We start from the raw sequence: 20534 nt of genomic DNA, 5'->3' as shown, positions 1-20534 counted from the left end.
TAACCCTAACCCTAACCCTAACCCTAAACCCTAACCCTAACCCTAACCCTAACCCTAACCCTAACCCTAACCCTAACCCTAACCCTAACCCTAACCCTACCCTAACCCTAACCCTAACCCTAACCCTAACCCTAACCCTAACCCTAACCCCAACCCTAACCCCTAACCCCTAACCCCTAACCCTAACCCCTAACCCCTAACCCTAACCCTAACCCTAACCCTAACCCTAACAACCCTAACCCTAACCCTAACCCTAACAACCCTAACCCTAACCCTAACCCTAACCCTAACCCTAACCCGTAACCCTAACCCTAACCCTACCCTAACCCTTAACCCCCAACCCTTAACCCCTAACCCTTAACCCTTAACCCCTAACCGTGACCCTGACCCCGACCCCGACCCCGACCCTGACCCTAACCCTAACCACATGAGCAACGTGGGTGTTATATTTTGGGTATCATGTGTGCATTAGGACTGCTGCATTTGCGTTCCGATGCTGCAACTGGACCCTTTAATGCAGCCCCTCGCCTTAGCTTGGGAGAATCTCGCTGCCCAGGATTCAGAGGGGCTTTTGCTTTCCCGTTTTCCGCACTGAACCGCTCTAACTGGTCTCTGACCTTGATTATTCACGGCTGCAACCGGGAAAGATTTTATTCACCGTTGATGCGCCCCGAGTTGTCCCAAAGCCACGCAGTGGCCCCAACGTCTGTGCTTAGGGGAATGCTGCTCCACCTTTACGGTGACCCCCAGGTCTGTGCTGAGCAGAACGCAGCTCCGCCCTCGCGGTACCCTCAGCCCGCCCGCCCGGGTCTGACCTGAGGAGAATTCTGCTCCGCCTTCGCAGTACCACCGAAATCTGTGCAGAGGACAACGCAGCTCCGCCCTCGCGGTGCTCTCCGGGTCTGTGCTGAGGAGAACGGAACTCCGCCGTCGCAAAGGCGCGCCGCGCCGGCGCAGGCGCAGAGAGGCGCGCCGCGCCGGCGCAGGCGCAGAGAGGCGCGCCGCGCCGGCGCAGGCGCAGACACATGCTAGCGCGTCCGGGGTGGAGGCGTGGCGCAGGCGCAGAGAGGCGCGCCGCGCCGGCGCAGGCGCAGAGACACATGCTACCGCGTCCAGGGGTGGAGGCGTGGCGCAGGCGCAGAGAGGCGCACCGCGCCGGCGCAGGCGCAGAGACACATGCTAGCGCGTCCAGGGGTGGAGGCGTGGCGCAGGCGCAGAGACGCAAGCCTACGGGCGGGGGTTGGGGGGGCGTGTGTTGCAGGAGCAAAGTCGCACGGCGCCGGGCTGGGGCGGGGGGAGGGTGGCGCCGTGCACGCGCAGAAACTCACGTCACGGTGGCGCGGCGCAGAGACGGGTAGAACCTCAGTAATCCGAAAAGCCGGGATCGACCGCCCCTTGCTTGCAGCCGGGCACTACAGGACCCGCTTGCTCACGGTGCTGTGCCAGGGCGCCCCCTGCTGGCGACTAGGGCAACTGCAGGGCTCTCTTGCTTAGAGTGGTGGCCAGCGCCCCCTGCTGGCGCCGGGGCACTGCAGGGCCCTCTTGCTTACTGTATAGTGGTGGCACGCCGCCTGCTGGCAGCTAGGGACATTGCAGGGTCCTCTTGCTCAAGGTGTAGTGGCAGCACGCCCACCTGCTGGCAGCTGGGGACACTGCCGGGCCCTCTTGCTCCAACAGTACTGGCGGATTATAGGGAAACACCCGGAGCATATGCTGTTTGGTCTCAGTAGACTCCTAAATATGGGATTCCTGGGTTTAAAAGTAAAAAATAAATATGTTTAATTTGTGAACTGATTACCATCAGAATTGTACTGTTCTGTATCCCACCAGCAATGTCTAGGAATGCCTGTTTCTCCACAAAGTGTTTACTTTTGGATTTTTGCCAGTCTAACAGGTGAAGCCCTGGAGATTCTTATTAGTGATTTGGGCTGGGGCCTGGCCATGTGTATTTTTTTAAATTTCCACTGATGATTTTGCTGCATGGCCGGTGTTGAGAATGACTGCGCAAATTTGCCGGATTTCCTTTGCTGTTCCTGCATGTAGTTTAAACGAGATTGCCAGCACCGGGTATCATTCACCATTTTTCTTTTCGTTAACTTGCCGTCAGCCTTTTCTTTGACCTCTTCTTTCTGTTCATGTGTATTTGCTGTCTCTTAGCCCAGACTTCCCGTGTCCTTTCCACCGGGCCTTTGAGAGGTCACAGGGTCTTGATGCTGTGGTCTTCATCTGCAGGTGTCTGACTTCCAGCAACTGCTGGCCTGTGCCAGGGTGCAAGCTGAGCACTGGAGTGGAGTTTTCCTGTGGAGAGGAGCCATGCCTAGAGTGGGATGGGCCATTGTTCATCTTCTGGCCCCTGTTGTCTGCATGTAACTTAATACCACAACCAGGCATAGGGGAAAGATTGGAGGAAAGATGAGTGAGAGCATCAACTTCTCTCACAACCTAGGCCAGTAAGTAGTGCTTGTGCTCATCTCCTTGGCTGTGATACGTGGCCGGCCCTCGCTCCAGCAGCTGGACCCCTACCTGCCGTCTGCTGCCATCGGAGCCCAAAGCCGGGCTGTGACTGCTCAGACCAGCCGGCTGGAGGGAGGGGCTCAGCAGGTCTGGCTTTGGCCCTGGGAGAGCAGGTGGAAGATCAGGCAGGCCATCGCTGCCACAGAACCCAGTGGATTGGCCTAGGTGGGATCTCTGAGCTCAACAAGCCCTCTCTGGGTGGTAGGTGCAGAGACGGGAGGGGCAGAGCCGCAGGCACAGCCAAGAGGGCTGAAGAAATGGTAGAACGGAGCAGCTGGTGATGTGTGGGCCCACCGGCCCCAGGCTCCTGTCTCCCCCCAGGTGTGTGGTGATGCCAGGCATGCCCTTCCCCAGCATCAGGTCTCCAGAGCTGCAGAAGACGACGGCCGACTTGGATCACACTCTTGTGAGTGTCCCCAGTGTTGCAGAGGTGAGAGGAGAGTAGACAGTGAGTGGGAGTGGCGTCGCCCCTAGGGCTCTACGGGGCCGGCGTCTCCTGTCTCCTGGAGAGGCTTCGATGCCCCTCCACACCCTCTTGATCTTCCCTGTGATGTCATCTGGAGCCCTGCTGCTTGCGGTGGCCTATAAAGCCTCCTAGTCTGGCTCCAAGGCCTGGCAGAGTCTTTCCCAGGGAAAGCTACAAGCAGCAAACAGTCTGCATGGGTCATCCCCTTCACTCCCAGCTCAGAGCCCAGGCCAGGGGCCCCCAAGAAAGGCTCTGGTGGAGAACCTGTGCATGAAGGCTGTCAACCAGTCCATAGGCAAGCCTGGCTGCCTCCAACTGGGTCGACAGACAGGGGCTGGAGAAGGGGAGAAGAGGAAAGTGAGGTTGCCTGCCCTGTCTCCTACCTGAGGCTGAGGAAGGAGAAGGGGATGCACTGTTGGGGAGGCAGCTGTAACTCAAAGCCTTAGCCTCTGTTCCCACGAAGGCAGGGCCATCAGGCACCAAAGGGATTCTGCCAGCATAGTGCTCCTGGACCAGTGATACACCCGGCACCCTGTCCTGGACACGCTGTTGGCCTGGATCTGAGCCCTCGTGGAGGTCAAAGCCACCTTTGGTTCTGCCATTGCTGCTGTGTGGAAGTTCACTCCTGCCTTTTCCTTTCCCTAGAGCCTCCACCACCCCGAGATCACATTTCTCACTGCCTTTTGTCTGCCCAGTTTCACCAGAAGTAGGCCTCTTCCTGACAGGCAGCTGCAGCACTGCCTGGCGCTGTGCCCTTCCTTTGCTCTGCCCGCTGGAGACGGTGTTTGTCATGGGCCTGGTCTGCAGGGATCCTGCTACAAAGGTGAAACCCAGGAGAGTGTGGAGTCCAGAGTGTTGCCAGGACCCAGGCACAGGCATTAGTGCCCGTTGGAGAAAACAGGGGAATCCCGAAGAAATGGTGGGTCCTGGCCATCCGTGAGATCTTCCCAGGGCAGCTCCCCTCTGTGGAATCCAATCTGTCTTCCATCCTGCGTGGCCGAGGGCCAGGCTTCTCACTGGGCCTCTGCAGGAGGCTGCCATTTGTCCTGCCCACCTTCTTAGAAGCGAGACAGAGCAGACCCATCTGCTACTGCCCTTTCTATAATAACTAAAGTTAGCTGCCCTGGACTATTCACCCCCTAGTCTCAATTTAAGAAGATCCCCATGGCCACAGGGCCCCTGCCTGGGGGCTTGTCACCTCCCCCACCTTCTTCCTGAGTCACTCCTGCAGCCTTGCTCCCTAACCTGCCCCACAGCCTTGCCTGGATTTCTATCTCCCTGGCTTGGTGCCAGTTCCTCCAAGTCGATGGCACCTCCCTCCCTCTCAACCACTTGAGCAAACTCCAAGACATCTTCTACCCCAACACCAGCAATTGTGCCAAGGGCCATTAGGCTCTCAGCATGACTATTTTTAGAGACCCCGTGTCTGTCACTGAAACCTTTTTTGTGGGAGACTATTCCTCCCATCTGCAACAGCTGCCCCTGCTGACTGCCCTTCTCTCCTCCCTCTCATCCCAGAGAAACAGGTCAGCTGGGAGCTTCTGCCCCCACTGCCTAGGGACCAACAGGGGCAGGAGGCAGTCACTGACCCCGAGACGTTTGCATCCTGCACAGCTAGAGATCCTTTATTAAAAGCACACTGTTGGTTTCTGCTCAGTTCTTTATTGATTGGTGTGCCGTTTTCTCTGGAAGCCTCTTAAGAGAAGAACACAGTGGCGCAGGCTGGGTGGAGCCGTCCCCCCATGGAGCACAGGCAGACAGAAGTCCCCGCCCCAGCTGTGTGGCCTCAAGCCAGCCTTCCGCTCCTTGAAGCTGGTCTCCACACAGTGCTGGTTCCGTCACCCCCTCCCAAGGAAGTAGGTCTGAGCAGCTTGTCCTGGCTGTGTCCATGTCAGAGCAACGGCCCAAGTCTGGGTCTGGGGGGGAAGGTGTCATGGAGCCCCCTAGGATTCCCAGTCGTCCTCGTCCTCCTCTGCCTGTGGCTGCTGCGGTGGCGGCAGAGGAGGGATGGAGTCTGACACGCGGGCAAAGGCTCCTCCGGGCCCCTCACCAGCCCCAGGTCCTTTCCCAGAGATGCCTGGAGGGAAAAGGCTGAGTGAGGGTGATTGGTGGGAAACCCTGGTTCCCCCAGCCCCCGGAGACTTAAATACAGGAAGAAAAAGGCAGGACAGAATTACAAGGTGCCGGCCCAGGGCGGGCAGCGGCCCTGCCTCCTACCCTTGCGCCTCATGACCAGCTTGTTGAAGAGATCCGACATCAAGTGCCCACCTTGGCTCGTGGCTCTCACTGCAACGGGAAAGCCACAGACTGGGGTGAAGAGTTCAGTCACATGCGACCGGTGACTCCCTGTCCCCACCCCCATGACACTCCCCAGCCCTCCAAGGCCACTGTGTTTCCCAGTTAGCTCAGAGCCTCAGTCGATCCCTGACCCAGCACCGGGCACTGATGAGACAGCGGCTGTTTGAGGAGCCACCTCCCAGCCACCTCGGGGACAGGGCCAGGGTGTGCAGCACCACTGTACGATGGGGAAACTGGCCCAGAGAGGTGAGGCAGCTTGCCTGGGGTCACAGAGCAAGGCAAAAGCAGCGCTGGGTACAAGCTCAAAACCATAGTGCCCAGGGCACTGCCGCTGCAGGCGCAGGCATCACATCACACCAGTGTCTGCGTTCACAGCAGGCATCATCAGTAGCCTCCAGAGGCCTCAGGTCCAGTCTCTAAAAATATCTCAGGAGGCTGCAGTGGCTGACCATTGCCTTGGACCGCTCTTGGCAGTCGAAGAAGATTCTCCTGTCAGTTTGAGCTGGGTGAGCTTAGAGAGGAAAGCTCCACTATGGCTCCCAAACCAGGAAGGAGCCATAGCCCAGGCAGGAGGGCTGAGGACCCTCTGGTGGCGGCCCAGGGCTTCCAGCATGTGCCCTAGGGGAAGCAGGGGCCAGCTGGCAAGAGCAGGGGGTGGGCAGAAAGCACCCGGTGGACTCAGGGCTGGAGGGGAGGAGGCGATCTTGCCCAAGGCCCTCCGACTGCAAGCTCCAGGGCCCGCTCACCTTGCTCCTGCTCCTTCTGCTGCTTCTTCTCCAGCTTTCGCTCCTTCATGCTGCGCAGCTTGGCCTTGCCGATGCCCCCAGCTTGGCGGATGGACTCTAGCAGAGTGGCCCGGCCACCGGAGGGGTCAACCACTTCCCTGGGAGCTCCCTGGACTGGAGCCAGGAGGTGGGGAACAGGGCAAGGAGGAAAGGCTGCTCAGGCAGGGCTGGGGAAGCTTACTGTGTCCAAGAGCCTGCTGGGAGGGAAGTCACCTCCCCTCAAACGAGGAGCCCTGCGCTGGGGAGGCCGGACCTTTGGAGACGGTGTGTGGGGGCCTGGGCACTGACTTCTGCAACCACCTGAGCGCGGGCATCCTGTGTGCAGATACTCCCTGCTTCCTCTCTAGCCCCCACCCTGCAGAGCTGGACCCCTGAGCTAGCCATGCTCTGACAGTCTCAGTTGCACACATGAGCCAGCAGAGGGGTTTTGTGCCACTTCTGGATGCTAGGGTTACACTGGGAGATACAGCAGTGAAGCTGAAATGAAAAATGTGTTGCTGTAGTTTGTTATTAGACCCCTTCTTTCCATTGGTTTAATTAGGAATGGGGAACCCAGAGCCTCACTTGTTCAGGCTCCCTCTGCCCTAGAAGTGAGAAGTCCAGAGCTCTACAGTTTGAAAGCCACTATTTTATGAACCAAGTAGAACAAGATATTTGAAATGGAAACTATTCAAAAAATTGAGAATTTCTGACCACTTAACAAACCCACAGAAAATCCACCCGAGTGCACTGAGCACGCCAGAAATCAGGTGGCCTCAAAGAGCTGCTCCCACCTGAAGGAGACGCGCTGCTGCTGCTGTCGTCCTGCCTGGCGCCTTGGCCTACAGGGGCCGCGGTTGAGGGTGGGAGTGGGGGTGCACTGGCCAGCACCTCAGGAGCTGGGGGTGGTGGTGGGGGCGGTGGGGGTGGTGTTAGTACCCCATCTTGTAGGTCTGAAACACAAAGTGTGGGGTGTCTAGGAAAGAAGGTGTGTGACCAGGGAGGTCCCCGGCCCAGCTCCCATCCCAGAACCCAGCTCACCTACCTTGAGAGGCTCGGCTACCTCAGTGTGGAAGGTGGGCAGTTCTGGAATGGTGCCAGGGGCAGAGGGGGCAATGCCGGGGCCCAGGTCAGCAATGTACATGAGGTCGTTGGTAATGCCGGGCAGGTCAGGCAGGTAGGATGGAACATCAATCTCAGGCACCTGGCCCAGGTCTGGCACATAGAAGTAGTTCTCTGGGACCTGCAAGATTAGGCAGGGACATGTGAGAGGTGACAGGGACCTGCAGGGGCAGCCAACAAGACCTTGTGTGCACCTCCCATGGGTGGAATAAGGGGCCCAACAGCCTTGACTGGAGAGGAGCTCTGGCAAGGCCCTGGGTCACTGCACCTGTCTCCACCTCTGTCCCACCCCTCCCACCTGCTGTTCCAGCTGCTCTCTCTTGCTGATGGACAAGGGGGCATCAAACAGCTTCTCCTCTGTCTCTGCCCCCAGCATCACATGGGTCTTTGTTACAGCACCAGCCAGGGGGTCCAGGAAGACATACTTCTTCTACCTACAGAGGCGACATGGGGGTCAGGCAAGCTGACACCCGCTGTCCTGAGCCCATGTTCCTCTCCCACATCATCAGGGGCACAGCGTGCACTGTGGGGTCCCAGGCCTCCCGAGCCGAGCCACCCCAGTCACCCCCTGGCTCCTGGCCTATGTGCTGTACCTGTGTCTGATGCCCTGGGTCCCCACTAAGCCAGGCCGGGCCTCCCGCCCACACCCCTCGGCCCTGCCCTCTGGCCATACAGGTTCTCGGTGGTGTTGAAGAGCAGCAAGGAGCTGACAGAGCTGATGTTGCTGGGAAGACCCCCAAGTCCCTCTTCTGCATCGTCCTCGGGCTCCGGCTTGGTGCTCACGCACACAGGAAAGTCAGCTTCTCCTGGGAGGGCCAGGATGGCCAACGGATGGTGAATATTTGGTGCTGGGCCTAATCAGCTGCCATCCCATCCCAGTCAGCCTCCTCTGGGGGACAGAACCCTATGGTGGCCCCGGCTCCTCCCCAGTATCCAGTCCTCCTGGTGTGTGACAGGCTATATGCGCGGCCAGCAGACCTGCAGGGCCCGCTCGTCCAGGGGGCGGTGCTTGCTCTGGATCCTGTGGCGGGGGCGTCTCTGCAGGCCAGGGTCCTGGGCGCCCGTGAAGATGGAGCCATATTCCTGCAGGCGCTCTGGAGCAGGGTACTTGGCACTGGAGAACACCTGTGGACACAGGGACAAGTCTGAGGGGGCCCCAAGAGGCTCAGAGGGCTAGGATTGCTTGGCAGGAGAGGGTGGAGTTGGAAGCCTGGGCGAGAAGAAAGCTCAAGGTACAGGTGGGCAGCAGGGCAGAGACTGGGCAGCCTCAGAGGCACGGGGAAATGGAGGGACTGCCCAGTAGCCTCAGGACACAGGGGTATGGGGACTACCTTGATGGCCTTCTTGCTGCCCTTGATCTTCTCAATCTTGGCCTGGGCCAAGGAGACCTTCTCTCCAATGGCCTGCACCTGGCTCCGGCTCTGCTCTACCTGCTGGGAGATCCTGCCATGGAGAAGATCACAGAGGCTGGGCTGCTCCCCACCCCCTGCACACCTCCTGCTTCTAACAGCAGAGCTGCCAGGCCAGGCCCTCAGGCAAGGGCTCTGAAGTCAGGGTCACCTACTTGCCAGGGCCGATCTTGGTGCCATCCAGGGGGCCTCTACAAGGATAATCTGACCTGCAGGGTCGAGGAGTTGACGGTGCTGAGTTCCCTGCACTCTCAGTAGGGACAGGCCCTATGCTGCCACCTGTACATGCTATCTGAAGGACAGCCTCCAGGGCACACAGAGGATGGTATTTACACATGCACACATGGCTACTGATGGGGCAAGCACTTCACAACCCCTCATGATCACGTGCAGCAGACAATGTGGCCTCTGCAGAGGGGGAACGGAGACCGGAGGCTGAGACTGGCAAGGCTGGACCTGAGTGTCGTCACCTAAATTCAGACGGGGAACTGCCCCTGCACATAGTGAACGGCTCACTGAGCAAACCCCGAGTCCCGACCACCGCCTCAGTGTGGTCTAGCTCCTCACCTGCTTCCATCCTCCCTGGTGCGGGGTGGGCCCAGTGATATCAGCTGCCTGCTGTTCCCCAGATGTGCCAAGTGCATTCTTGTGTGCTTGCATCTCATGGAACGCCATTTCCCCAGACATCCCTGTGGCTGGCTCCTGATGCCCGAGGCCCAAGTGTCTGATGCTTTAAGGCACATCACCCCACTCATGCTTTTCCATGTTCTTTGGCCGCAGCAAGGCCGCTCTCACTGCAAAGTTAACTCTGATGCGTGTGTAACACAACATCCTCCTCCCAGTCGCCCCTGTAGCTCCCCTACCTCCAAGAGCCCAGCCCTTGCCCACAGGGCCAACACTCCACGTGCAGAGCAGCCTCAGCACTCACTGGGCACGAGTGAGCCTGTGTGGTGCGCAGGGATGAGAAGGCAGAGGCGCGACTGGGGTTCATGAGGAAGGGCAGGAGGAGGGTGTGGGATGGTGGAGGGGTTTGAGAAGGCAGAGGCGCGACTGGGGTTCACGAGGAAAGGGAGGGGGAGGATGTGGGATGGTGGAGGGGCTGCAGACTCTGGGCTAGGGAAAGCTGGGATGTCTCTAAACGTTAGAATGAATGGCCTAGAATCCGACCCAATAAGCCAAAGCCACTTCCACCAACGTTAGAAGGCCTTGGCCCCCAGAGAGCCAATTTCACAATCCAGAAGTCCCCATGCCCTAAAGGGTCTGCCCTGATTACTCCTGGCTCCTTGTGTGCAGGGGGCTCAGGCATGGCAGGGCTGGGAGTACCAGCAGGCACTCAAGCGGCTTAAGTGTTCCATGACAGACTGGTATGAAGGTGGCCACAATTCAGAAAGAAAAAAGAAGAGCACCATCTCCTTCCAGTGAGGAAGCGGGGCCACCACCCAGCGTGTGCTCCATCTTTTCTGGCTGGGGAGAGGCCTTCATCTGCTGTAAAGGGTCCTCCAGCACAAGCTGTCTTAATTGACCCTAGTTCCCAGGGCAGCCTCATTCTGCTTTGGGTGCTGACACGACCTTCGGTAGGTGCATAAGCTCTGCATTCGAGGTCCACAGGGGCAGTGGGAGGGAACTGAGACTGGGGAGGGACAAAGGCTGCTCTGTCCTGGTGCTCCCACAAAGGAGAAGGGCTGATCACTCAAAGTTGCGAACACCAAGCTCAACAATGAGCCCTGGAAAATTTCTGGAATGGATTATTAAACAGAGAGTCTGTAAGCACTTAGAAAAGGCCGCGGTGAGCCCCAGGGGCCAGCACTGCTCGAAATGTACAGCATTTCTCTTTGTAACAGGATTATTAGCCTGCTGTGCCCGGGGAAAACATGCAGCACAGTGCATCTCAAGTCAGCAGGATTTTGACGGCTTCTAACAAAATCTTGTAGACAAGATGGAGCTATGGGGGTTGGAGGAGAGAACATATAGGAAAAATCAGAGCCAAATGAACCACAGCCCCAAAGGGCACAGTTGAACAATGGACTGATTCCAGCCTTGCACGGAGGGATCTGGCAGAGTCCATCCAGTTCATTCAACACCTGGTTAGAAAACTGGGGCCAGCACACAGGGGAAGGGTAAGCTGGTTTCATGATTGAATCAAGGCTCAGACAATTTTTAAAGGCCAGAGGGTAGACTGCAATCACCAAGATGAAATTTACAAGGAACAAATGTGAAGCCCAACATTTAGGTTTTAAAAATCAAGCATATAAATACAGAAGGTGGAGGGAACTTGCTTTAGACACAGTTCAGGTGAAGAAAGACCCGGAAACTTCTGTTAACTATAAGCTCAGTAGGGGCTAAAAGCATGTTAATCGGCATAAAAAGGCAATGAGATCTTAGGGCACACAGCTCCCCGCCCCTCTTCTGCCCTTCATCCTTCTTTCAATCAGCAGGGACCGTGCACTCTCTTGGAGCCACCACAGAAAACAGAGGTGCATCCAGCACCACAGAAAACAGAGCCACCACAGAAAACAGAGGGTGACTGTCATCCCCTCCAGTCTCTGCACACTCCCAGCTGCAGCAGAGCAGGAGGAGAGAGCACAGCCTGCAATGCTAATTTGCCAGGAGCTCACCTGCCTGCGTCACTGGGCACAGACGCCAGTGAGGCCAGAGGCCGGGCTGTGCTGGGGCCTGAGCTGGGTGGTGGGGAGAGAGTCTCTCCCCTGCCCCTGTCTCTTCCATGCAGGAGGAGCATGTTTAAGGGGACGGGTTCAAAGCTGGTCACATCCCCACCGAAAAAGCCCATGGACAACGAAAAGCCCACTAGCTTGTCCAGTGCCACAGGAGGGGCAAGTGGAGGAGGAGAGGTGGCGGTGCTCCCCACTCCACTGCCAGTCGTCACTGGCTCTCCCTTCCCTTCATCCTCGTTCCCTATCTGTCACCATTTCCTGTTGTCGTTTCCTCTGAATGTCTCACCCTGCCCTCCCTGCTTGCAAGTCCCCTGTCTGTAGCCTCACCCCTGTCGTATCCTGACTACAATAACAGCTTCTGGGTGTCCCTGGCATCCACTCTCTCTCCCTTCTTGTCCCTTCCGTGACGGATGCCTGAGGAACCTTCCCCAAACTCTTCTGTCCCATCCCTGCCCTGCTCAAAATCCAATCACAGCTCCCTAACACGCCTGAATCAACTTGAAGTCCTGTCTTGAGTAATCCGTGGGCCCTAACTCACTCATCCCAACTCTTCACTCACTGCCTTGCCCCACACCCTGCCAGGGAGCCTCCCGTGGCACCGTGGGGACACAAAGGAACCAGGGCAAAGCTCCCTCAGCCCCATTCAAAGAGGCCTGGCCCACAGGCTCACGGAAAGTCAGCCTCTCATGCCCCGAGAGCTGAGTGCAAGGGAGAGGCAGCGCTGTCTGTGCTTCCCATGCAGAAGCACCCCCCTCCCACCCCTGTGCAGGCCGGCCTTCGCGGCAGACCACCATACACCACGTTCCAAGCCACACTGAGGCCTCCCTCCAAGCCTGCAGCCCCCATTTCCAGACCCTGCCAGGGCAACCTGCATATCCACCTCCCTACCCTGCCCCCCTCTTCCAGGAGTCTGCCCTATGTGGAGTAAGCACGTGGTTTTCCTCTTCAGCAACTATTTCCTTTTTACTCAAGCAATGGCCCCATTTCCCTTGGGGAATCCATCTCTCTCGCAGGCTTAGTCCCAGAGCTTCAGGTGGGGCTGCCCACAGAGCTCCTCAGTCTAAGCCAAGTGGTGTGTCATAGTCCCCTGGCCCCATTAATGGATTCTGGGATAGACATGAGGACCAAGCCAGGTGGGATGGGTGAGTGTGGCTTCTGGAGGAAGTGGGGACACAGGACAGCATTCTTTCCTGCTGGACCTGACCCTGTGTCATGTCACCTTGCTACCACGAGAGCATGGCCTGTCTGGGAATGCAGCCAGACCCAAAGAAGCAAACTGACATGGAAGGAAAGCAAAACCAGGCCCTGAGGACATCATTTTAGCCCTTACTCCGAAGGCTGCTCTACTGATTGGTTAATTTATGCTTAGCTTGGTCTGGGGAGTTCTGACAGGCGTGCCACCAATTCTTACCGATTTCTCTCCACTCTAGACCCTGAGAAGCCCACGCGGTTCATGCTAGCAATTAACAATCAATCTCGCCCTATGTGTTCCCATTCCAGCCTCTAGGACACAGTGGCAGCCACATAATTGGTATCTCTTAAGGTCCAGCACGAGGTGGAGCACATGGTGGAGAGACAGATGCAGTGACCTGGAACCCAGGAGTGAGGGAGCCAGGACTCAGGCCCAAGGCTCCTGAGAGGCATCTGGCCCTCCCTGCGCTGTGCCAGCAGCTTGGAGAACCCACACTCAATGAACACAGCACTCCACTACCCAGGAAATGCCTTCCTGCCCTCTCCTCATCCCATCCCTGGGCAGGGGACATGCAACTGTCTACAAGGTGCCAAGTACCAGGACAGGAAAGGAAAGACGCCAAAAATCCAGCGCTGCCCTCAGAGAAGGGCAACCACGCAGTCCCCATCTTGGCAAGGAAACACAATTTCCGAGGGAATGGTTTTGGCCTCCATTCTAAGTGCTGGACATGGGGTGGCCATAATCTGGAGCTGATGGCTCTTAAAGACCTGCATCCTCTTCCCTAGGTGTCCCTCGGGCACATTTAGCACAAAGATAAGCACAAAAGGTGCATCCAGCACTTTGTTACTATTGGTGGCAGGTTCATGAATGGCAACCAAAGGCAGTGTACGGGTCAAGATTATCAACAGGGAAGAGATAGCATTTCCTGAAGGCTTCCTAGGTGCCAAGCACTGTTCCATTCCTTTTCATGTTTTGATTAATTTAATATTTACAATAATTCTACCAGGAAGCTACCATTATTACCACAACTTCACAAATGAGAACACCGAGGCTTAGAGGGGTTGGGTTGCCCAAGGTTACAGAGGAAGAAAACAGGGGAGCTGGATCTGAGCCAAGGCATCAACTCCAAGGTAACCCCTCAGTCACTTCAGTGTGTGTCCCCTGGTTACTGGGACATTCTTGACAAGCTCGGGGCAAGCCGGTGAGTCAGTGGGGGAGGACTTTCAGGAAGAGGTGGGTTCCCAGTTGGTGACAGAAGAGGAGGCTGCAAAGTGAAGGAGCAGGGGCTCCAGGTCTGGCGACAACCAGGGAAGGGACAGGGCAGGGATGGCTTGGACCACGAGAGGCACCTGAGTCAGGCAGTCACATACTTCCCACTGGGGTCTACCATGTGAGGCATGGTGTGGGATCCTGGGAAGGAGACCAAGCCTCATTTCAGTTTGCTTATGGCCAAAGACAGGACCTGTGTACCCGACAACCCCTGGGACCTTTACCAAAAAAACAGCAAACACCATTCACTCACTCATGTTAGATAAACACTGAGTGAAGTCACTGGAGCCCAAGGACTGTGCGAGGTCAGCACTGCCAATACAAGAAGCTGCAGCCCTCCAGCTCGCCTCCCTCAATGGCCACTCCGTGCTCCAGCCATGCTGGCTTCCTTTTAGGTCCTCCACCTCCAGGCTGTAGTTCATGTGCTTCTTTCTGGAATGTTCTTCCCAACCTACCCACTCAACCCTCAGACTTTACCATAAATGTCATTTCCTCACATCTGCCTTCCCTGACCTGAGACCAAGCCAGGCTTCCCATGACGAGCCTCACAGTACCCCATCTCCCCTGAACAGATGCAGTAATAACCTACATAACCCGGGGCCATGATCTATGGCTTTGAATCCTGGCTCTGTCACTAGGCCAGGTCTCTCAGCCTTTCTGTGCCTCAGTTTCCTCATCTATAAAATGAGATGACGGCAGTGCCTGCTCATGAAGTGTGAGTTAATGCACTCAAATCAATGGTTGTGCACGGTTTATATGAATATTAGTGATTACAAAATATTATCAATAGACCTTGTCACAACTGTTATTGAAGAACTAATCATCTATTGCTTATTTAGGTCTTTCTCTCCTGCCAGAATGTGCGCTCCAGGTGGAGAGGTATGTTGCCTTATCCGTGGCTGGATATATAGAGATTCCCACACTGCCTTGCACACGAGCACTGCTGGGTAAATATTTGTTGGCTGCAGGAAAACGTGAAGGAATAGGCCCTCCAATGGGAGGAAAAGCATGAGTTGTGAGAGCAGAGCCACCACAGGAAACCAGGAGGCTAAGTGGGGTGGAAGGGAGTGAGCTCTCGGACTCCCAGGAGTAAAAGCTTCCAAGTTGGGCTCTCACTTCAGCCCCTCCCACACAGGGAAGCCAGATGGGTTCCCCAGGACCGGGATTCCCCAAGGGGGCTGCTCCCAGAGGGTGTGTTGCTGGGATTGCCCAGGACAGGGATGGCCCTCTCATCAGGTGGGGGTGGGTGGCAGCACCCACCTGCTGAAGATGTCTCCAGAGACCTTCTGCAGGTACTGCAGGGCATCCGCCATCTGCTGGACGGCCTCCTCTCGCCGCAGGTCTGGCTGGATGAGGGGCACGGCATAGGTCTGACCTGCCAGGGAGTGCTGCATCCTCACAGGAGTCATGGTGCCTGTGGGTGGGAGCCGGAGCATCACAGCCACCCACGACCACCTGCACCCACCCACCACAGGGCAGGGTGGTGTTGAGACAACACAGCCCTCATCCCAACTATGCACATAGCTTCAGCCTGCACAGATAGGGGAGTAGGGGACAGAGCATTTGGTGAGAGGCCAGGAGCGCATAGATGGGACTCTGCTGATGCCTGCTGAGTGAATGAGGGAAAGGGCAGGGCCCGGGACTGGGGAATCTGTAGGGTCAATGGAGGAGTTCAGAGAAGGTGCAACATTTCTGACCCCCTACAAGGTGCTTGCTACCTGCCAGGCACCCTTTCCATACCTTGTCTCAGTTCAGCTCCCCACCTTGGATAAACAAGAAACCTTGGTTGCAGAGGAAAAAAGAGGCTGGAAACAAAGGGGTAGAAATGGGGTAGCGGGGGAGATTGGGTGATCAACTGCCAAATGGTACCCAGTTCTGGAAAAGCACAAAAAATGTGCACACACGGGTTCTTCCCACTTTAACCCCTGAGGAATCTGAGGCCTGCTCCTGAAACAGACTGGGCAAGTGGCTAGTGACTCTAGGTATAGGAGTAGCCAGCCCTGCTCACCCAGGCTAGAGCTTAGGGGGACAAGAGGAAAGAGGTGCCTGTGGGGGTGGAGGACAGGAAGGAAAAACACTCCTGGAATTGCAAAGTGAGGGCAGAGTCTATTTATATTGGGTTTAATTAACTCCTCTCCCTGGTGCCACTAAAGCAGCAATCACACTGCAGACAGCACTGATTTGATTGGCAAGAGATGCACCAGGCAGAATATTAAGGGACCAGGCCCCTATAAATAGGCCTAATCACAGCCCCTCGCTGGAAAATGGTAAGGAAGACATTAATCAGGCCTGGCACTGTGCCCTAGACCTGCTCCCCTAGGCACTACAGTGGGGCCCTTGGTTGCAACACAAGTAGGTAGGGATGGATGAGTGTGGCATGAAGGGCCTAGGAGATTTCATTTGGGTTTAAAATGCTGTGACCTTGAGTAAGTTGCCGTCTCTGAATCTGATCCTTTCGATTTCCCATTCTCCAAACTGAGAACTAGCACTGCTGAGACGTGGTTATTCCCAATAATAATTTGTATATTTTACATAACGCACCACACCAACATCTTCACCCAGTAGGAGCCTACTCCTTTGCTCCCGCTGCTGGCTTCCCCAGCCCTCCCTTCTGCCCTCCTCAGGCCAGCACTTTTCAGTGAGTTCCTCCTTTGCATACAGGCTTTCCAGATCTGTACTTGCCTTGAATACTCATCAGAGCCCAGGAGTTACTCCTCACCTCCCACTTATTTTTCCTCCCATCAAATAACTAAAGCATGGCCAGCTGATGCCCAGCCAACTGAGAAACCTAACCCTCTGAGACCAGCACACCCCTTTCAAGCATGTTCCTCCCTCCCCTTCTTTGTATTTATACTGATGCAAGTTTGCTGGCTGTCCTAACTTATTTCTGTGCCTCAGTTCTCCCATATGTAAGATCACAAAGGGGGTAAAGATGCAAGATATTTCCTGTGCACATCTTCAGATGAATTTCTTGTTAGTGTGTGTGTGTTTGCTCACACATATGCGTGAAAGAATAGTACATACACAGATCTCCTCAAAAAGGAGGCAGCAAGCCCGTTCAAGAATGGGACTGAATACACCTGATGAGTGGTTTACTTTCTGTCTGCAAACATCTACTGATCATCTGTTAGGTGCAGGCCATGATCACAACAAAGACGAATAAGACACTACACTAGCCAGGGAGAGTCTCAAAAACAACTAAACTCAAATTAAATTCATTCTACTCCAGTCATGAGTACAAAGCTAAGGAGTGACAAATCCCTCTTGGAGTTAGGGGAGTCAGGAAAAAGCTCTTAGCAGAATGTGTGCCTCTCGGCCGGGCGCAGCGGCTCACGCCTGTAATCCCAGCACTTTGGGAGGCGAAGGCAGGCAGATCACCTGAGGTCGGGAGTTCGAGACCAGTCTGACCAACATGGTGAAACTCCATCTCTACTAAAAATACAAAATTAGCCAGGCGTGGTGGTGCATGCCTGTAATCCCCGCTACTCGGGAGGCTGAGGAAGGAGAATCACTTGAACCGGGAAGGTGGAGGTTGCAGTGTGCCAAGATCGCGCCATGGCACTCCAGCCTAGGCAACAAGGGTGAACCAGGTCCAGGAAGAAGGTGCAAAGACAGCATTCCAGGTAAAAGAAACAGCTTGAACAAAAAGTGTGTAAGGGAACCGCAAGCGGTCTTGAGTGCTGAGGGTACAATCATCCTTGGGGAAGTACTAGAAGAAAGAATGATAAACAGAGGCCAGTTTGTTAAAAACACTCAAAATTAAAGCTAGGAGTTTGGACTTGTGGCAGGAATGAAATCCTTAGACCTGTGCTGTCCAATATGGTAGCCACCAGGCACATGCAGCCACTGAGCACTTGAAATGTGGATAGTCTGAATTGAGATGTGCCATAAGTGTAAAATATGCACCAAATTTCAAAGGCTAGAAAAAAAGAATGTAAAATATCTTATTATTTTATATTGATTACATGCTAAAATAACCATATTTGGGATATACTGGATTTTAAAAATATATCACTAATTTCATCTGTTTCTTTTTACTTTTAGAAATCACATATGTGACTTAAATATTTCTTTTCTTTTTCTTTCCTCTCACTCAGCGTCCTGTGATTCCAAAGAAATGAGTCTCTGCTGTTTTTGGGCAGCAGATATCCTAGAATGGACTCTGACCTAAGCATCAAAATTAATCATCATAACGTTATCATTTTATGGCCCCTTCTTCCTATATCTGGTAGCTTTTAAATGATGACCATGTAGATAATCTTTATTGTCCCTCTTTCAGCAGACGGTATTTTCTTATGCTACAGTATGACTGCTAATAATACCTACACATGTTAGAACCATTCTGACTCCTCAAGAATCTCATTTAACTCTTATTATCAGTGAATTTATCATCATCCCCAATTTTACATAAGGAAATGGGGTTAGAAAGACCAAATAACATTTTTTCAACATCAAAACACTAGCTTGAGATCAAGCCCAGACTTGGATCTGTTGTCTGAATTCCAAGCTTTTTGTTATTTATTGATATGTTTTGTTGTTTTCATGCAATAATGCAAATCTTAGCCCAAACATTTTGTTAGTAGTACCAACTGTAAGTCACCTTATCTTCATATTTTGTCTTTATGTAAACCTAAATTAGATCTGTTTTTGATACTGAGGGAAAAACAAGGGAATCTAACACTAACCAGCCCGTAGTGTATGGTCAACACTTTCGTTACTTTAGTATACATCACCCCAATTGTTTGTCTTCACCACACACTTTGGAGTTAGGTAGTAGTATCTATTTTTACAAATAAGAAAACCCAGGCACAAAGGGGTTGATTAGCAATTATCTTTTGAAAAGCCTGTAGTTGCTCATCTGAAGAAGTGACGGACCACCTCTTATTTAGTGGACAGACAGTAACTAGTTGAGAAGACAGGGGATTTTGTTGGCGGAAAAAAAATTTTATCAAAAGTCGTCTTCTATCAGGGAGTTTTATGAGAAACCCTAGCTCCTCAGTTCCACAGTGGGTAGCTGTAATTCATTCTAGGTCTGCGATATTTCCTGCCTATCCATTTTGTTAACTCTTCAATGCATTCCACAAATACCTAAGTATTCTTTAATAATGGTGGGTTTTTTTTTTTTGCATCTATGAAGTTTTTTCAAATTCTTTTTAAGTGACAAAACTTGTACATGTGTATCGCTCAATATTTCTAGTCGACAGCACTACTTTCGAGAATGTAAACCGTGCACTCCCAGGAAAATGCAGACACAGCACGCCTCTTTGGGACCGCGGTTTATACTTTCGAAGTGCTCGGAGCCCTTCCTCCAGACCGTTCTCCCACACCCCGCTCCAGGGTCTCTCCCGGAGTTACAGGCCTCGCTGTAGGCCCCGGGAACCCAACGCGGTGTCAGAGAAGTGGGGTCCCCTACGAGGGACCAGGAGCTCCGGGCGGGCAGCAGCTGCGGAAGAGCCGCGCGAGGCTTCCCAGAACCCGGCCGGGGCGGGAAGACGCAGGAGTGGGGAGGTGGAACCGGGACCCCGCAGAGCCCGGGTCCCTGCGCCCCACAAGCCTTGGCTTCCCTGCTAGGGCCGGGCAAGGCCGGGTGCAGGGCGCGGCTCCAGGGAGGAAGCTCCGGGGCGAGCCCAAGACGCCTCCCGGGCGGTCGGGGCCCAGCGGCGGCGTTCGCAGTGGAGCCGGGCACCGGGCAGCGGCCGCGGAACACCAGCTTGGCGCAGGCTTCTCGGTCAGGAACGGTCCCGGGCCTCCCGCCCGCCTCCCTCCAGCCCCTCCGGGTCCCCTACTTCGCCCCGCCAGGCCCCCACGACCCTACTTCCCGCGGCCCCGGACGCCTCCTCACCTGCGAGCCGCCCTCCCGGAAGCTCCCGCCGCCGCTTCCGCTCTGCCGGAGCCGCTGGGTCCTAGCCCCGCCGCCCACAGTCCGCCCGCGCCTCCGGGTCCTAACGCCGCCGCTCGCCCTCCGCTGCGCCCTCCCCGAGCGCGGCTCCAGGACCCCGTCGACCCGGAGCGCTGTCCTCGTGGACCGAGTCGCGGGCCTGGGCACGGAACTCACGCTCACTCCCAGCTCCCGACGTGCACACGGCTCCCATCCGTTGTCTTCCGAGCGTCAGGCCGCCCCTACCCGTGCTTTCTGCTCTGCAGACCCTCTTCCTAGACCTCCGTCCTTTGTCCCATCGCTGCCTTCCCCTCAAGCTCAGGGCCAAGCTGTCCGCCAACCTCGGCTCCTCCGGGCAGCCCTCGCCCGGGGTGCGCCCCGGGGCAGGACCCCCAGCCCACGCCCAGGGCCCGCCCCTGCCCTCCAGCCCTACGCCTTGACCCGCTTTCCTGCGTCTCTCAGCCTACCTGACCTTGTCTTTACCTCTGTGGGCAGCTCCCTTGTGATCTGCTTAGTTCCCACCCCCCTTTAAGAATTCAATAGAGAAGCCAGACGCAAAACTACAGATATCGTATGAGTCCAGTTTTGTGAAGTGCCTAGAATAGTCAAAATTCACAGAGACAGAAGCAGTGGTCGCCAGGAATGGGGAAGCAAGGCGGAGTTGGGCAGCTCGTGTTCAATGGGTAGAGTTTCAGGCTGGGGTGATGGAAGGGTGCTGGAAATGAGTGGTAGTGATGGCGGCACAACAGTGTGAATCTACTTAATCCCACTGAACTGTATGCTGAAAAATGGTTTAGACGGTGAATTTTAGGTTATGTATGTTTTACCACAATTTTTAAAAAGCTAGTGAAAAGCTGGTAAAAAGAAAGAAAAGAGGCTTTTTTAAAAAGTTAAATATATAAAAAGAGCATCATCAGTCCAAAGTCCAGCAGTTGTCCCTCCTGGAATCC

At 55.1% G+C, this 20534-nt stretch overlaps 1 non-coding gene and 2 pseudogenes across 4 annotated transcripts, besides 5 other annotated features; 1 reads left to right on the top strand and 2 right to left on the bottom strand.

Annotated features, from left to right (window-relative positions):
• Positions 1 to 2096: 2096 nt before the first annotated feature.
• DDX11L9 (DEAD/H-box helicase 11 like 9 (pseudogene)) lies at positions 2097 to 4632 on the top strand (annotated as a pseudogene). 2 transcript variants are annotated; one of them, NR_034090.1, is made up of 3 exons: positions 2097 to 2450; positions 2836 to 2944; positions 3444 to 4632. The product of NR_034090.1 is annotated as a DEAD/H-box helicase 11 like 9 (pseudogene), transcript variant 1 (transcript). The 2 variants fall into 2 exon arrangements; NR_051985.1 differs by having other exon boundaries at positions 2818 to 2944; positions 3626 to 4632.
• Positions 4360 to 4915: an enhancer, noted in NCBI's record as "H3K4me1 hESC enhancer chr15:102516478-102517033 (GRCh37/hg19 assembly coordinates)". NCBI's record gives its function as "activates a minimal SCP1, AML or CMV promoter by ChIP-STARR-seq in primed H9 embryonic stem cells {active_cell/tissue: H9 hESC(primed)}" and the evidence as "EXISTENCE:reporter gene assay evidence [ECO:0000049][PMID:30033119]".
• On the bottom strand, positions 4585 to 20377 carry WASH3P (WASP family homolog 3, pseudogene; annotated as a pseudogene). Its single transcript, NR_003659.2, has 11 exons — positions 19549 to 20377; positions 14967 to 15120; positions 8496 to 8594; positions 8143 to 8289; positions 7838 to 7970; positions 7463 to 7598; positions 7084 to 7285; positions 6837 to 6995; positions 6025 to 6177; positions 5198 to 5266; positions 4585 to 5057 (listed from the first exon to the last, which is right to left on the bottom strand). The product of NR_003659.2 is annotated as a WASP family homolog 3, pseudogene (transcript).
• Positions 6029 to 6585: an enhancer, noted in NCBI's record as "H3K4me1 hESC enhancer chr15:102514808-102515364 (GRCh37/hg19 assembly coordinates)". NCBI's record gives its function as "activates a minimal SCP1, AML or CMV promoter by ChIP-STARR-seq in primed H9 embryonic stem cells {active_cell/tissue: H9 hESC(primed)}" and the evidence as "EXISTENCE:reporter gene assay evidence [ECO:0000049][PMID:30033119]".
• MIR6859-3 (microRNA 6859-3) lies at positions 7599 to 7666 on the bottom strand. Its single transcript, NR_107063.1, has one exon. It is a non-coding gene; the product is annotated as a microRNA 6859-3 (primary transcript).
• Positions 19465 to 19966: an enhancer, noted in NCBI's record as "OCT4-H3K27ac hESC enhancer chr15:102501427-102501928 (GRCh37/hg19 assembly coordinates)". NCBI's record gives its function as "activates a minimal SCP1, AML or CMV promoter by ChIP-STARR-seq in primed H9 embryonic stem cells {active_cell/tissue: H9 hESC(primed)}" and the evidence as "EXISTENCE:reporter gene assay evidence [ECO:0000049][PMID:30033119]".
• Positions 19627 to 19686: a silencer, noted in NCBI's record as "silent region_6896". NCBI's record gives its function as "represses an Ori minimal core promoter by ATAC-STARR-seq in GM12878 lymphoblastoid cells {active_cell/tissue: GM12878}" and the evidence as "EXISTENCE:reporter gene assay evidence [ECO:0000049][PMID:35858748]".
• Positions 19797 to 19846: a silencer, noted in NCBI's record as "silent region_6895". NCBI's record gives its function as "represses an Ori minimal core promoter by ATAC-STARR-seq in GM12878 lymphoblastoid cells {active_cell/tissue: GM12878}" and the evidence as "EXISTENCE:reporter gene assay evidence [ECO:0000049][PMID:35858748]".
• Positions 20378 to 20534: the final 157 nt, after the last annotated feature.

This window comes from Homo sapiens, chromosome 15 (assembly GCF_000001405.40).
Source record: "Homo sapiens chromosome 15, GRCh38.p14 Primary Assembly".
NCBI lineage: Eukaryota > Metazoa > Chordata > Mammalia > Primates > Hominidae > Homo > Homo sapiens.
Note: the sequence above shows the minus strand (reverse complement) of the source record. Positions and strands in the feature narration are given on the sequence as shown.